Source organism: Homo sapiens, chromosome 12 (assembly GCF_000001405.40).
Source record: "Homo sapiens chromosome 12, GRCh38.p14 Primary Assembly".
In the NCBI taxonomy this organism is placed as follows: Eukaryota; Metazoa; Chordata; class Mammalia; order Primates; family Hominidae; genus Homo; species Homo sapiens.
Genome location: NC_000012.12, coordinates 108458070 through 108474997, shown reverse-complemented (window position 1 = coordinate 108474997; position 16928 = coordinate 108458070). Strand labels below are relative to the sequence as shown.

Below are 16928 nucleotides of genomic sequence, written 5' to 3'. Positions count from 1 at the left end.
GATTACAGGCGTGAGCCACTGTGCCAGGCCGCCATTCTTTTTTTATTCATCCAGTAAGTACTTACTGAGCACCTATTACATTTCCTGCCAATCCATTGCCTGCAACCAAAGGATGCTGGTGGATGCAACATGGCTGCCTCTACACCCCAACACCTACCCGCAAGGGGAGAGTGGACTCATCCATACTCAGGAAATTAGTAGAAATCTGTCCCGTGATGCTAGGGTGCACAAGACATCATTCCTTCATTTTTATAAACAAGGGAAACCTGGCTCAGCCCTGCTCTGAGCTCAGCCCTGCCCTGTTGGCAAAAACAATAACCTTTTTATAACAAACAGAATTCAGCTGCGTGCGGTGGTTCACACCTGTAAACCCAGCACTTTGGGAGGCCGAGGCAGGCGCATCACCTAAGGTCAGGGGTTCAAGACCAGCCTGCCCAGCATAGTGAAACCCCATCTCTACTAAATAGACCAAAAAAAAAAAAAAATAGCCAGGCGTGGTGGCGGACACATGTAATCCCAGCTACTCGGGAGGCTGAGGCAGGAGAATCACTTGAACCGAGGAAGCAGAGGTTGCAGTGAGCCGATATGCCATTGCCCAGGCACTCCAGCCTGGGCAACAAGAGCAAAACTCCACCTCAAAAAAATGAAGACCAAAAAACAGAATTCACTGGAGAGCCATTCAGAGAGAGTTCTGTGTGGTGTTATGACACCATGCGCACCCAGCATGTTTCACAGGGGGCTGTAATTGCCTGTTTAGTTATCCACTTCTCTGGCCAAGCTGTGAGCTTGGGGAGCAGGGGCCGGGTGGGTCTTGCTCATTTCTGTCTTCCCAGCCATGCTTGGCACATAGTAGTTCCTTTATTACTATTTAATGGATGGATGAAAGAATACTTGGATTTGGAGTGAAGCTCTGTGTTGTTCCCTGCTCTGTGACTGCACATAAATTTGGAGCAGAGAAGCTTTTTTGTTTTACCCTGCTCTGTGACTGCAGATAAACCCCTCTCCTCTCTAAGCCTCAGTTTCCTTGCTTCTGGAACAAGCAGGTTGAACTTGATTATCTCTTAGATCCCCTCCAGTTCAACATTCTCTCTGTATTCAGGAGATGGGAGAGGGTTGCACTTACTGCCTTCTTATTATAGGGCAGGGTCATGTGACTAGTCCTATCCAGTGAGTTGCGAGTGGAAATAATAGATGTCACCTCCGGGCTGGAACGTTGCATTGCTGATGCAAGATGCTCCAGAACTCTTTCCCTCTGTCATGGGCCATGGCAACCACCAATGTTGAATCTTGCAAGCAGGGACTTGGAGCAGATGTCCCAGCTGAATGGAGCATAAACAAGAAGTAAACCCTGGTTGTTATAAGTCACTGACTTTTGGGGATTATTTGTTATTGCAGCATAATGTGACCTATCCTACCTGGTGCAGTTACTCTGGGTGGTGTGTGAAAGGTGGGTGTTAAGGGCAAGAATGGAAGCAAGGAGAGCTTGGAGGAGGTTATTTCATTCCTGTGGGTGAGAGACTGAGAGTAATCGCCTGATGCCGTTACTCTGGGTGCTTGGGCAAGGGTAGTAGTGGTGGAGGTGGTGAGAAAGAAATGGATTCAATTACATTTTGGAGCTAAAGAGGCCATCACTTGATAATGAATATAAGGAATAAGAGAATGAAAAATCTACGCTAAGGGTCCCTGTCACTCACCACTTTAAGAGCTTTCGGATCACGAGTTGGGCTGAAAGCTCCTCATACAATCTGATATTAGATAATAAATTCTGCTTGTCTTTGCTCAAGAAATGGGTCTCTGCTTTCATTTTTCAGGGCTAAAGAAGTTCCTGCAAGAGAAGAGTGGGGCCTGGGTCTGCCTTTCCCATTGCCAAGATGCCGTCTGCTGGCAACATCATCCATTATGACTGATCATGGCAAATGCCGGTCAGCTGGCCTCACAGCAGTTGTTAGGAAAATAGTCTTTGGCTTGATTATGTTATCTGGCTTTCCCCAAGGAGGTAAGAAAATAGACCTATATCCCTCTGGCTTTGTGCTTCAAGCTCTCTCACCTGCCTTGTGTATGTCATAGCTCAATCAGAAGATGGCTTTTTAGAATAGCTGCTGCGAAAATGGGTTAGCCAGGGAAAATCTTATTAGAAGGAGAATTGTGTCAGGAGAGAAGAAAGAGAAATGCAATTTAGCGTTGTATGTTCTCATTAAAATAAGCGTGCATCTTTGAAAGGAAACAGCATCATTTAGACAGGACAAAGGGGTGGTAAACCTGGCAATTATCCTGGGGGCCAAGGGGCAAATGTCGTATGGCAAAGGTCAGGTCACCTTTGGGTTTGTGGTTTGCTACTTTCACTGGCTGCCTTTCTCTTTAGAGCTGAGAAGCTGGGTGAAGGTGTCCATTCCAGGGGACTGTGTCTTAGCATTTTGTCCCCAGTGTGCCGACCTGTGCTGTCCAGTGTGGTAGCCACTAGCCACATGGGGCTATTTACATTCAAATTAATTACAATTAAATAAAATGAAAAATTCAGTCTCAGTTGCACCAGCTGCATTTTAAGTCCTCAGTAGCCCCATGTGGCTAGTGGCTGTCACAATGAACAGTATAGATATAGAATATTTCCATCATCACAGTAAGTTCTGTAGGACAAGCTGGTGTAGACTACAGGATGGGGGGACTTAAAATGGAAGACATTCAAACAAGAAAAGTGGGGAGAATCATTATCAGCTCTAGTTTAAGGAGCCCATGTGCTTCTCACCTCTGTCTCTCGCTACCTGGCATACCTGGGCCTTAGAACCCAGATCTTATTTAATCCTAGAGCCACCCCCTCCTCCCTTAATCTCTCTGCAATGTGGAATCTCAGAGGCTACTATGGAGTGGCTCGTTTTGCTAAATATGTATTTACCCAGCAACTTCTACAATCATCACTGGAGAGATGCTTTCCCAGCCGCATAGGCAGTGTTAATTCCAGGCGATGCCGACCTGCTTAGGGCAACCAGATGAGGTAAGTGTGGAGGGATGGGGAGGACACTCAGGGTACCTGCTGGAGTGGCAAGAGAGTGAGGCCAGAGAGACCTGGGGGTGGGGAAAACTGGCTCTGCCACTTAGCAGCTCATTGGCCCCCACATTGTCTCTTCTTGCCCTGATAATCCCTCTCTGAAGCTAGGAAGTTCCTTTAAAATACAAATCAGGGCCAGGCATGATGGCTCACACCTGTAATCTCAGCACTTTGGGAAGCCGAGGTGGGTAGATCGCTTGAATTCAGGAGTTTGAGACCAGCCTGGCCAACATAGTGAAACCCTGACTCTACTAAAAATTCAAAAATTAGCTGGGCATGGTACCACACCTCTGCAATTAATCCCAGCTACTCAGGTGGCTGAGGAAGGAGAATCGCTTGAACCTGGGAGGTGGAGGTTGCAGCGAGCCAAGATCACACCACTGCACTCCAGCCTGGGTGACAGAGCAAGACTTCATCTCAAAACAAACAAACCCCCAAAAAACCCAAATCAGATCATGTCATTTCCATGCACAAATCATGACCATGATTTCCCATTGATTTAGAATAAAATCCAAATTCTACCAAGACCCATAAAGGCTCACAGACTGGGTTCATCCTCTGCTCCTCAATATCATCTTTCTCCAAAACCTTGTGTTTGTATGTTCACGGCTCTCATCCTGCCAGGAATGATTTCCTTGTTTGTTTTCCTGGTTCTTGCCCATAGCGCATCCTGGATTTAAAATTCCTGCTTATTTTATTCCTCACTAGGAGAAGGACATGCTTATTTTATTCCTCACTATATGCCCAGTGTCTGGCACAGTCCCCAGAGACACAGTCCACACTTGTAGAATAAAAGTAGTAATGACCTTGTGCATGATGCTTGACTTCTTGGAACCTCAGTTTTCTCATCTATGAAATGGGAATATATTAGGATGATTTTGTAAGGTTATTATAAGGTAGAAACAGAGTTGTAAAAAGTGCATTGTGCATAGTAGACATTCAAATTAGCAGTTACTATGATCATTATTATAAAGTTGCAAGTTCAATACAGATCACTTTTTTTTCCTCCAAAGCCATTTCAAAATAAGTTGTCAAATCGATGCCCTGTCACCCCTGAATACAGTAGAGTCTATTTCCTTAAAATAAGGACATGCTCTTAGTGATCATGGTAAAATTGTTAGGTCAGGACATGAATCCTGCAACATTACACCCATCTAATCCTCAGACCCCATTCACGGTTTCCTATTTGTGCCAATAACGTCCTTTCCAGTGAAAGGATCCAGTTCAGCATCTACTGTTGTGTTTAGCTGTCCTGTCTCTTGGATGTCCTCCAGTCTGGAGTGTTCCTCAGTCTCTCTTGGACTCTCGTGATGCTTTTGGAGGGGACAGCCAGCATTTTGTGGAATGTCACTCTGTGTGGGTGTGTCTGATGCTCCCTGGTGAATAGATTCAGGTCATGCATCTTGGGCAGGAATAGCATGTGAAAGACGTGGCATCCTTCTCATGGAACCCTGTTGGATGGCATGTGATTACTGCTGGCATTCACTCTGGTCACTTAATTGAGGGGCCCTCCCCACAGGGGACTTCTCTCCACTCTAAAATTACTCTTTCTGTCTTCGCAGTATTTTTTGTGGGGAGGGTCTTTGAAATTATGTAAATATCCTATTCAGTATCAAACATTTACTTTATTCATTCATTTATTTATATCAGTATGAACTCATTCCATGCTAGTTTTTTGAGTGGGCTGTAATTCATTACTATTCTCATTTATTTTGATTCTCAAATCACGTCATTTTTGGCTGGTGAGAGCCACTTCAAGCTGGTGTCTGTGTCCCTTGATGTGACCCCTATGATACTTTGAATGTTTTCTTGCTTTCTGGCACAAGATGTTCCAGTTATCTTGTTTTTTCCTGGAGCCAGCCTTGGAATCAGCCATTTCCCTAAAGTGCCTTGATTCAATTTAGTGGAGAATATCTGGAAACAAAGATATTGGTGTAAAGTATGTTTATAGCTATTAGGGCAGCACTGATTCCAGGTCCTCTTAATGTGCAAATCTAGGGAGTACATGTGTGTGTGCACACATGTATGTGTATGTAGATATACACATGTACAAACATGTTTACATCTATATTTATTAGATTTTTTTCTCCATATTGGAAACCAGAAAGTCACGTTAATACACCTCTGACTCCAATCCATCACCATAGAGCTCATTCTGGTTCTCTTCCTTTCCACATTTGTGACTCCTTTCTCTGACAGTGAGAAATCCATTTATACTCAGTGGTCAATGTAACGATTCTCCTGTTTCAGCTGCCACCCCTTCCATGCATGGACACCCTTGTCACCCTACCTGTGCACTCTCATCCCATCTTGGCTGCACCCAGCATGGGCTCTGATGACTGTTATTATTGTTATTGTTGTTGTTATTTTCATCCTTGGTGGGTTGGTGGGGCAGTGGAGTGGATGGGGTGCTTATGTCATTTAAGTCACCTGCCCTTATTTGGCCAAAGGGACCAGGCCTGGAGGCTAGCAGGTGCATTTTTTTTTTAATATTCATAGAATGCTTCTACGCAGTCCCTCTAAGAGGTCAAAGCAATTTAAAAAATCCTTGATAATTACCCAACATTCCAAAATTGATGGCTGATTCCAAGTGCTGTGTGTTTTATTCTTTCACCTCCTCCGCAGAAATCAAAGGGAGGAAAAGTAAGTAGCAGCTGAAATGATCCCCCACTCACTTTCTATAAAGAGGAAAATTAGCTGCTCTAATAATCATGAATATTAATGTATAGCCAATTTCACTCAATTAAAATGATGATCTATAATTTTGCCTCGGAGCTTTATGGAGACCATTTCAATGACTACTGAGTAGAAGTTGGATGCTTTTTAAAGTTCATGGGTTTGGCTTAACTCTCCCATCCCCATTACTGGCTTCCATGTAGGATGGACCCCAATTCCTTCCTTGGCCAAATTTCTCAGCTTTTAGAGAATGCATTCTTTCTATTTTTAGGGTCCAGGATCTATCATTGCCACAGTGAGTTTATGAGATCTCGCACAGCTCACATTCATTCCCATCTTCTTGAACACTGCTTCTCGCACCTCTCTGATCCACAGGGTCCCTGGATGTGTACCCACTGGCCACATGTGTCCAGTGAGGTCCCACTTTCCCTATTCATAGCAAATTAGCTAAAGGGGAAACACCTCCCCATGTAGAGTCTTTATCCTGGGAATTTGGGATTGGGACTAAGACGGATTAATGCCAGAGGGATCCTTCCCTTCCCTTCCCTTTCCTTCCCTTCCCTTCCCTCCCCTCCCCTCCCCTCCCCTCCCCTCCCTTCCCCTCCTCTCCACTCCTCTCTCCTCCCCTCTCGTCTTCTCGCCTCTGCAGCACAGTCCCTGCCTTTTATACTTTGTCTTCTGTAGAAGTTGAGGATATGGTGTAGCTACTGACTTCATTTTTTCTCCTGCTCCTGGCTCAACCTTTAACTTTTCAGGGAGCTCTCCATGGTCCTGAAGTTAGTTCTAGGGCTCTGCAATAGAATTTCCTTATTGGCATCTTTTGGGTGGTTCCTTTTCAAAGGGAGATCACATAGAGTGCAAGGTCTCCACCTCCTACCTTGAAGTTCTCCCAGCCTTTCCTCTTCTTGATGGAAAAAGAATACCCATTTCTTGTTTCCACGCCAAGTTGCTAGTGCACCAGTTTCCATGACAACAGAGAGTGGGGAGTTAAAGGCCAGCCTCTCATTTATAGCAGAATTAAAAGCTACCCTCTTGGAGAGTGAATAATGATCTCAGGAGGGTCCTGGAAATTGAAAAGCATTGGTTTTTTATTTATCCATCCACGTAGTATGGGGCTCTGAGGGAGAAAATATGGGGGTGGCGGGGGAGTTTCTGTAAGGGCTTTTCATGGGGAGAAGCGTATGCAGTAATGATGTTGGCAATAGCAATGATAACACCTCGCAGGGTCTCCACATTTTAAAATCTGTGGCAGCCACTTTAGACCCTCAATATAGCCTGTGGATTTGATGCGGGAAGAAACTGGGACTTCAAGTGAAGAAGTGATATATGTGCCCGTTTCATGCTGTCTTTTTAGTGCCTGGAGCATCTCACTGCCTGACTGGGACTTCCCCAGCAGTACCTAAGCAGTGACTCTCCTCCTCATCAAAAGGTACTGGTGCTCTGTCCCATTCCTCCCCATCCCTGATAACAATGGCACCCCGAGAAGCCTGTCTTAGCTAGACAGCAATAGTGAATTGAAGGTTTACTCTCTCAGGCCAAGTTTACTGGTGACTCCAATGGCTAAAGAGCTGACACTTTGTCTGATTAGAGTTTGGTTATGGGTGCTTTCCCCCATTCTGCTTACACAAAGGGCTCCTTTTTTTCATTGACGTTGGGGCACTAGTTTTATGCTCTGTATATCCTCAGGACAATCCTAGGAGGCAGGTACTATTATTATCCACATTTTACAGTTGAAGATATGACTCAGAGAGGCCATGTAACTTGTCAGAGTTCACACTGCTAGGAATGCGAGAGCTGTGATTGGAACCCAAGTCACCTGACACTTCGGTAGACATGAGTATCAAGTCCAACAAGAGCCAGAATAAGTCCCCCAAGGTACTCAGCTTGCTTGAAGTCCAAGGACACTTCTGAGACTTAGTTAGGGTTAATTTCAAAGTTGTCTCCTTAATTGGGAGGGTTTGGATTGTAGAAAGGCTCATGGGGAGAAGGGCTTTGGGTTGGGTTCATCTAGGAACCGTTGCCCAGCACAGGGTGAAATGCAGCTGGCTGGGCAATAAATATAGAAGCTTCACAGTCGCAGAAAAAAATCCCTCAGTTTCATGCTTTTCCATTCTGGGAGGGCCTGGTAGCATCTTTAGACGTATCTCCTCATATACTAGAGGGCTGGGTGGCAATGTCAGTCTGCAAATTTATGTTTCAGAGACCCAGAGGTGTGATCTGGGTAAATAATTAGGGTCATGCTATCATAAGAGGTTAGGATTATCGAGTCTCAGAGCTAAGTGGGATCTTAGAAATAGCCAAGTCAAATGTATGCCAAGGTTTTATTGTGTATACCACCAGGGATACATAAGATGATTTAGTTGTTGTATTAGTTAGGATAAGCTTATGAATGCAGTAACAAGCAAACCCAGAAGTCTCTGTGATTTTAGACAATCAAGCTTTGTTTCTCTTACATAAATTCTGTTGGGAGTCAGTCAACCCTCTATGGTGGTGGTCCCTCATGCAATTACTTAGGGACTCAGGCTACTTTGATTTTTGTGATGCTGCCACCCCACATGTAGCTTCTAGGTCATGAAGGCACAGAAGAGAGCTGGTAGGCTGCACATGTTGCCCAAAACATGACGACAGATGCAGAGGTTAAAAATCTTTGCTCTATGATTGGCTTGTTTAGCATTAATTTTTGATTGGGTTGTAAAATATAAACATTTGTGAGATTTAGAAGATTAAGATCATTTTGATAGTATTATTTACAGACTTTAAATATGTGGCTATCACATGTCTGTGCAGGGGAATAAGTACTACATAAATAGCTTAAATAGTTTGCATCAGCGAAAAAAAATCTTTGCTCTAAATAAGAACTGACTTGGCTGGGTGCAGTGGGTGGTGGCTCATGCCTGTAATCCTAGTGCTTCGGGAGGCCAAGGCAAGTGCATCACTTGAGGTCAGGAGTTCGAGACCAGCCTGGCCAACATGGTGAAACCCCAACTCTACTAAAAGTACAAAAATTAGCCAGGTGTGGTGGCACATGCCTGTAATTCCAGCTACTTAGGAGGTGGAGGCAGGAGAATCGCTTGAACCTGGGAGGCAGAGGTTGCAGTGAGCTGAGATTGCACCACTGCACTCCAGCCTGGGCAACAGAGTAAGACTCCATCTAAAAAAAAAAAAACCCAAAAAACAAAAGGAATTGACTTGCAAGAAGGAAAGAGGAGGGAATTTACCAGCTAGGGGCTTGAAACCACCCACCTCATTTGGTAGTATATCATAATTACAGACTTTTACTTCCCCTGAGTAGAATCGAAGACCACCTCCAAGATTTGATTTTTTGTCAGCAGGGGAGAAGGTGCCTCAACATTCAGAGGCAGGGAAGATGAGGCATCACTCTGTCCAGTAGAGGGGAGGGAAGCGGATCTTGTAGTAAACTCCCAAAAGGCGACTTGAAAGAGAAACTGATCTCATCCATCTGAAAGATGTAGCCAAAGGCAGAAACACAAATGCATATACAAAGACACACAGATACACTGAGGCAGACACACAAAGACATTCCAATGTGTGCACACACACACATCCAAGCACACACAGGCTCACTCACAAAGATACAGCAACACTCGCTTCCTCTGTGTGTGTGATTCATCTTCCCAAGCTAGGAGGAGATGCTGAAAGGACCTGTGGTCCCATGGGGACCATGAACGAGGCCTGTAGTGTATAAATCTGGGGTCAGCAGCAGAATGGGCTCAACCATCCCCATTTCTTTCTCTCTGGTGCCCTATAAACATCTCCTGGTTCCTGCCCCACCTCCCGGCAGCAATCCTTACTGCCATCTCTCCCAGCTTGTTAGATTTAGGTGCTGGAGTGATTTGTTTCTTTTCTCCAAATCAGCCCTAGAAGCTGCCTAACAGGGGCAAATTCACCATTCAGGGAGCCTGCAGAATCATATTGCTTTCTCCTTCACTGAGAGGGAAAATGGGATTTTTAGGGAAACAGCCATGGTTGGTTTGACTTGATCCCTTTGGCCTCGCAAAGCAAGAGAAAGGGATTTCTGACACAGGGTAGGACTGACCCCATTCCTCAGTTCAGTGTGGACTTCTGAGCCTCTGCTGTGGCTACCCTTGCACCCGGGGCCTTGGGTCCTGGGGTCAAGAAAATTAAGGCAGAAACCAGTTGGTAGACTTCTTGGAGACTTCACTCATCCTATGGCATCCTTGGTGCCAGGAGGTCTCCAGTGTCATGGTCAAGAGCATCAGCTCTGCACTCAGCCTGTCTGGGTCTAAATCTCAGCTCAGCTGGTAAGAGGCTCTATGACCTTGAGCTCATTACAGAATTTCTCTGAGCCTCAGTTTCCCCATCTTTCAAATGGGGATGATAATGGTAGTTCCCTCATGGAACTATCATGGATACATGGCATGTAAAATATTTTAGTACACGGTCACATCCTGGGAGACAGAGTTCCAGAAGTCGTGGCTGCAAGAGTCAGGTAAGAGATACAAACCTGACTCAAAGAGGAACTTCCGTGAAGATGTCACAGCTGCAAAGAGAAAATGACTGCCAGGTCCCCACTCACCTTGTTAGAGGCCCTGGCTGTTCTGAATATGCCATAGCCAGACTCAATGGGGGCCCACGCTGAGCTACAAACAACACTGGCTGTGGTGTGTTGATGGAGGGGTGAGACTGGCCTCAGGGCCTGCTGACTGTTCCTTGGGTGTCTGGGGCCCGGGCATGGATGTTACCTTAAGGAGCACACACCGGTCTCCCTTCTTCCACACCACCCCATCCTCCCTGCCTTTCTTCTCAGAGACTCATTGAGCACCTACTTTATTCCATGTGCTTGAACAAAGTAAACCTGGCCTCTGCCCTGATGGTGTGTGCCTCATAGTCTGGGAAGATAGACAATCAACAAATAAGCAGAAAGGTGAGCAAGATGATTCCTGATGGTGGTAAGGCCTCTCCAAAGAAGCGACATCTGAGTTGAGAGGAAAGGAGAAGGAGCTGGCTGTGCAGACACCTGGAGCCCATTTCCACAGTGAGTGGGAATGGCAATTGCAAAGGCTGTGGAAAGCAGGAGAGAGCTGGGAGTTTTGGTGTTTTTGTTGTTGCTGTTTTGGGACAGGGTCTCACTCTGTCACCCAAACTGGAGTGCAGTGGCACAGTCAGCTCACTGGAACCTCGAACTCCTGAGCTCAGGTGATCCTCCCACCTCAGCCTTCTGAGTAGCTGGGCCACAGATGCATGCCACCACACCTGGCTCATTAAAAAAATTTTTTTTAGAGATGGGATGGGGTCTTGTTATGTTGCTCAGGCTGCTCTTGAACTCCTGGCCTCAAGCGATTCTCCCGCCTTGGCCTCACAAAGTGCTGGGATCATAGCTGTGTCCAGCCCAGAGTCTTAAGTTTCACAGGGACAGAAAGAGGAACAGGGTAAGTGAAGGAGAGGGGTTGCTGCAGGAGATGAGTTTGGAAGCGTGAAGAGATCGTGTCCTGCCTCATCGACCAGGGTGAGAAATGGAGGTTTTATTTTAAGTGCAGCCAGAAGTCATTTGCTAGAGGCTCCAAGCTGGGGAGAAAGACACGATCCAGTTTATATTTTAAGAGGAAGGCTCCAGCTGCTACATGCAAAGACCTGTGGAGGGGCAAGATGGGAGCTGGGAAGGCAGAGAGGAGGTGGCTGCAGGAACCCTGGTGCCTTGGACAGAGGTGACCGGAGTAGAAAGGAAAAAATGAATTCTCAATACAGTTTGAAGGAAGAGCCAACAGGACTTGCTGACAGATTGAATTGGACTGGGTTAAGGGTGACAGATTTGAACTTGTCTGTTTCAATTTAGGCCTGATTCTATTTTCATATTAACCTTCTTGTGATGATTAATAGGATTGCTCCTTGGGATTCTGGAGGGCAGGTGGAACGAACTGCAATGGAGACTCACTCCTTCCTCAACTCACAATAAAGGGATGTCAGAGAGCTGGGTTGTAGCCCTGTCTCTGCTACCAACTTGATGAGTGGTGTCGGCTAAATCACACCCCCCCTCCGCGCCCCATCCTGGCTCCAGTGTCCTCACTGTGAAATGTGCATGGTCTTGGTGTCTTCGCAGAGGGAAGGGCTGAGGAGGGCTGGACTTGATGTACCATAAATGTTCAGAGAGTAGAAAGCAGTGACAAAGAAGTGCATGTGGTAGGGTTGTATTGGGAAGGGTCTCTTTGCCGCCTAATAATTCCCCTCCCCTCTCTCTCCTCCTTTCCCCTCCCCTCCCTTCCTCTGTCTTTCCCTTCCCTTCCTCTCCTCCCCTCCCCTCCCCTCCCCTTTCCTACCCTCCCCTTCCTTCCCCTCCTCTGCTCTCTCCCTGCCTTTCTTCCCCCACCTTGGTTCTGAGGACCCTTCTCTCCTGTGCCAGATGGTGCCGACACAGAGCCAAGGATGAAAGCACGCAGATGCATTCTGCCCAATCCTGATCCCTGGTCTCTGAGAAGTGATGAGACTGGGGCTGGGGAAAAAGGAGGTTGATTTGGAAGACCGTTCTGAGCAGGGAAGGATGGTGTGGAGGCCTTTGGGAAGTGGGAGGGGAATGGGGAGGGCTTCCATCGTGATCACAGAGGAGAAGGGCCAGGGACTGAGCAGTGAGCTGCCCTGGAGGGCACCTGGCTTCTGACCCATCATTTGTGAACAAACCACCATCCAACCATCCTGCCAACTCTCCACCCCATGAAGAGAAGGGGAGGGGCTTGGACACCTTATAGGGAGAGGGAGAGAAAGGGTAATCTTGTTCCCTAACCAGTGGGGAACTGATCAGGACCACTGGAAATTTTCCCATGAGCTGGGGCAGAAAGGGACCCTCTGTCACTGTTAGATGTCTATACCCAGCTGTCCCACCTGGGGAGTCTTTTCTTTAGACATCCATGAAAGTACAGTGATGTCCAAGGATGTTTAGTGAGTCTCCTCAAATAGGATGTTAGGAGACATCCTATCAGTCTGAGACTTGTTGATTAAATTACATTATAGCCATACTGTGGAATATCACACAGCTATTAAAAAGGACAATCTCAATCTCTGTGTCACCCTGAAGGGAGATTCTTAATACACAATGAAGTGAAAAAGATGAGTTGTAGAATCATGTGTATAGTTTCTCTCTCTCTCTCTCTCTATATATATATATGTATATGTATATATATATGTATATATACGTATATATATATATATATATTTTGGTAAGTAAAAAAAGACATAGAGGGCCAGGTGTAGTGGCTCATGCCTGTAGTCCTAGCACTTTGGGAGGCTGAGGTGGACAGATCACTTGAGCCCAGGAGTTTGAGATCAGCTTGGGCACCATGATGAAACCCCGTTTCTACAAAAAATACAAAAATTAACCAGTTTCATAATCAAGTCTCAAAATAAATAAATAGATGAACATTTTTTTAAAAAAGCATAGAGAAGGGAACTCTACAACAATCTATTAACATTGCTAACTACAAGGGGTTGGAGTTAGAATGGAGTGGGAGAGATTATTGATTTTTTACTTTACTTTGTTGTTTAGCATATTGCAATGCATGCGTTACTTCCATAATTAAGAAAATCTAATACACATTTTTATAAAAATTCAAGGTGTCCTCAGATATGTTCAAGCCCAAAAGAATCTTATACCTGGACCCCCCAGTCCCTAGCCCCTGGTAAGTATTTGCAAAAAATGTTGGATGAATGATGAAATGAGGAAGAATGAAATGTTTAGCTCAATATCTCATTTCTTGGATGGTTTGTAAAGCTTTCAATAAAACAGGAGCCTTGAGGCAGTTGGTCATTAATGAATAACTCATCATCAGAGGTCTGGATTGAATATTAAAGCAGTCCCAGCAGTCAACCGTGCCCCTTGTTAAACATGGTCCCTGCTGCAACTAGTCTAGGTCCAGGCTCATATTCTAGCTGACAGCTTGGAGAGGAGTGATAGTCATATTTCCTCACGTAACCATCCTCATTTTTAGGGTTGACAGTTCTGCTGCTGCAATGACAGGGAGGTGGGTGGGTGAGTCCTTTGGGTGTTGCTGGGATGTTAAGTCCTGGGGTTGTGACTGGGGAGAGTGATGTCACCCTTGATAATTTCTGTAGACTCAGGCAGAGCGGCTCACTAAGATAAAAACCTCTTATAAGTAGGTTTTTCTTTCTTTTTAGTAAACAGGTTGCTCATCACTCTTCGACAGCTCTGACCCCTTGGCTGCAGAGTGGGTGCTGGGTGTTGGGAGAGGGGCATGCATGGAGGTCCTTCTTATCCCATGTCTCATCTGATTTTTCTTCAGTCTCCTCCTCCTCACTTTCAGAGCAGAGAGTCCTTATGCGCCACTGGGACTCCCCATGCCCTTCCCTGTCTGTCCGTGTCTTGCTGAGCCAGGCAGACTCCTCGCTTTCCAAAGTGACAGTTCATTTTCAGATTCCCTGTTCACGTTTCCATTTTGCAAGTGACAGAGACCAGTGTGTTATTCCTCTTAAGTAGTGTAGCAGGAGCCTCTGGGAAGGAAACGTTTAGCCAAATGACTGACTCTAACGGAGAATTTTCAGGTATTTTGGTAGACCAAGGGATAGAATAATTTAGGGATAGAATAATTTAGGAATAGGTTGAAGTTCCTGTTGCTAAATGACATTCCCCACCCTCCACTCCCCCGACTTTTTTTTTTTTGGAGACAGAGTCTCACTCTGTCACCCAGGCTGGAGTGCAGTGGTATGATCAGGGTTTACTGTAGGCTTGACCTCCCGGGCTCAGGTCATCCTCCCACCTCAGCCTCCCAGGTAGCTGGGACCACAGATGTGCACCATCATGCCTGGCTATTTTTTTTTTTTTTTGTATTTTTTTGTAGAGACAGGGTCTCACCATGTTGCCCAGGCTGGTCTTGAACTTCTGGGCTCAAGCGATCTCCCCAGTTTGGCCCCCCAGAGTGCTGGGATTACAGGTGTGAGCCACCATGCCCGACCCATTTTCCCCCTTTTTATAAAAGCGATAAGTGTTCAATTCATACCACTTGCAAAACGCAGAAAGACACAGAAAATTGAACAGCACATTCCTCCATAATCCCTTTAGTCAAGATGACTCATCGCAACAGATACACACACAGTGTAAATATATATTTACAAAAAATATACTTTGTATATTCTTCTGTAGCCAGTTCTTTTCACTTAGCAATATCTTGTGAGTATAGTCCCATAACTATAAATATTCATCTATACTGTGAGTTTTTTTCCAGTTGGAAAAATTTCAAACAACGCAAAACATAAAAAACAATTAAGATCTCTATTATTGCCATCCTCAGGGATAACCATTATCACTTTAAAAATATTCTCTTGCCTTTTTTTCTATGCGTATGCACACTAGAATCTAATCCCTATACAGATGCTCCTCAATTTACAATATGGATGTGACCCCATTGTGAATCAAGGAATGTACTGAATGCCTATTGCTTTCTCACCATCATAAAATGAAAAAATCAAAGCATCATAAGCTGGGGACTGTCTGCAGTGTCCTGGCTTGCTTTACCTACCCTTGTGTCCTCAGCACCTTGAAGAAGGTCTGGCATGTAGCAGATGCTTGGTAAATATTGTTAAATGAATGCAAAATTATAAATGCATATTTAGTAGGGTTCCTGGAGTAGAATCTGCTTCTACGTTTTTCCCCCAAAGCTTGTAAAACCCTCATTTAAAATGTTACATGTATTTTCTGTTTTCTGGGAAGGGGACTGGAGTTTACCTTTGAGCAGGACCATCCCTTGATTCTGGGTGTGAGCACTTGGTGAGAAGAAAATAAGCAAAATAACTATCCACGGTTCTTGGGGATGCCCTGAAAGCTCAAATACTGAAGCTGCAGATGGAGCAGTTAAGTATTCTAAAGGGAACCTAAAGCAAACTGTGTTTGTTGGTAGAACATGCCCCTGCAGGGTTGGAGCAAAATCTGTTTCTAAACTTAGAGTTTGGCTGCCCCAGGCCTGAACGCACTTGTTTGCTCTTGGGAGACAGGGTGTGCATTCTCATCCAAGCATTTGCTTGCTGGAGTTGAGGATTGAGGACCAGATGGTGGCAGAAGGGATATGCAGGCTTGCTCTTGCTCTCACCTGAGGCTGGAGAGAAGTGCCACGTCTGGTAAGGAGTACCCTGGTCTCCAAGGTTGGTCTCCCTTCCAGTAGTAATGTACCAAATCCAATGAGCAGACTTGGACTTGCCCTCCTGGCCTATGTGGTTGTCTTGTTTGGACTACAGGGTGATGGTGGGATGTCCTTTGGAGGAGAGATGTTCCCATGTTTCTCCAGGGGGTATTGTGGGTCTACTAGACAGGAAGGCTTATTCCCCACTTCTCTTGGTTCAGATGAGCTGGGTGGGAACTTGGAGGTGTGGCAATTTTCCCAGAACATCCTCCGTGCAGGGTGAGTGTTTACGCAGGAAGTTCCAAGTAAAGCGCTTGGATGTTGAGTCTTAGCAACCACTCTTAGCAATAATTTTAAATTAATCTTCACGGTACTATATCTCTCCTCTTATTCTGTTGTCTGTAGTAGCACCCGACAGGCTGAGGATCTATCAACATTTTAAATGCAAATATCCTTTACCCCAGAATTATCACTTCTAGGAATCTCATCTAAAGAAATACTAGTGTGATGGACAAAGAAGCATGTAGCAATGTTCTTTGCAACTTGTGTGCAATAGCATAAAACTGGAAATAAGCAAAGTACTGGACAAGTGGGGACTGTTAGATAAAGCTTGGCATATCTGCACTAGAGTGAGGCCGATCTATGCACACAGACATGGAAGCTTCTCTGACACATATGGCTGAGAATAGAGAACAATCCTATTCATACAAGAAAAAAATCAGTGCCAAAATCTATGTATGTAAATGCACAGAAAAATTCTACAAGTGTGCCCACTTAATAAATGGAGCTGCCTCTAGGGAGGGCAGTGGAATTATATGTGTGGAGTATATATGAATAATGATGGTGGTAATTAAGATGTGACATTTGTTGAGTGCCCACTCTGGGCCAGGCACTGTTGAGGGGCTTTACGTGAATTTACTTGCTCAATGCTAATAATGACCCTATGAGTTGTGATTATAATCCCCATGTTACAGATGAGGAAATAAAGGCATGACTCCAGGGGGTGCTCTATACAAGGAATACAATAGGAATTGTGGCCCTAGAATTGTTCAGCGCAGTGGGACCGTAAAGACATGAGGCAAACGTGCCTGATTTAAGTAAAAGGTGGA

The 16928-nt window shown here is 45.3% G+C and overlaps 1 long non-coding RNA gene across 1 annotated transcript, besides 1 other annotated feature; it reads left to right on the top strand.

Moving 5' to 3' along the window:
* The first annotated feature begins 1308 nt into the window (after positions 1–1308).
* LINC01498 (long intergenic non-protein coding RNA 1498) lies at positions 1309–15573 on the top strand. The gene is made up of 4 exons (NR_120483.1): positions 1309–1447; positions 1812–1996; positions 13304–13368; positions 15414–15573. It is a non-coding gene; the product is annotated as a long intergenic non-protein coding RNA 1498 (long non-coding RNA).
* Positions 6399–6599: a silencer, noted in NCBI's record as "peak1935 fragment used in MPRA reporter construct". NCBI's record gives its function as "represses an SCP1 promoter by STARR-seq MPRAs in K562 erythroleukemia cells {active_cell/tissue: K562}" and the evidence as "EXISTENCE:reporter gene assay evidence [ECO:0000049][PMID:32103011]".
* Positions 15574–16928: the final 1355 nt, after the last annotated feature.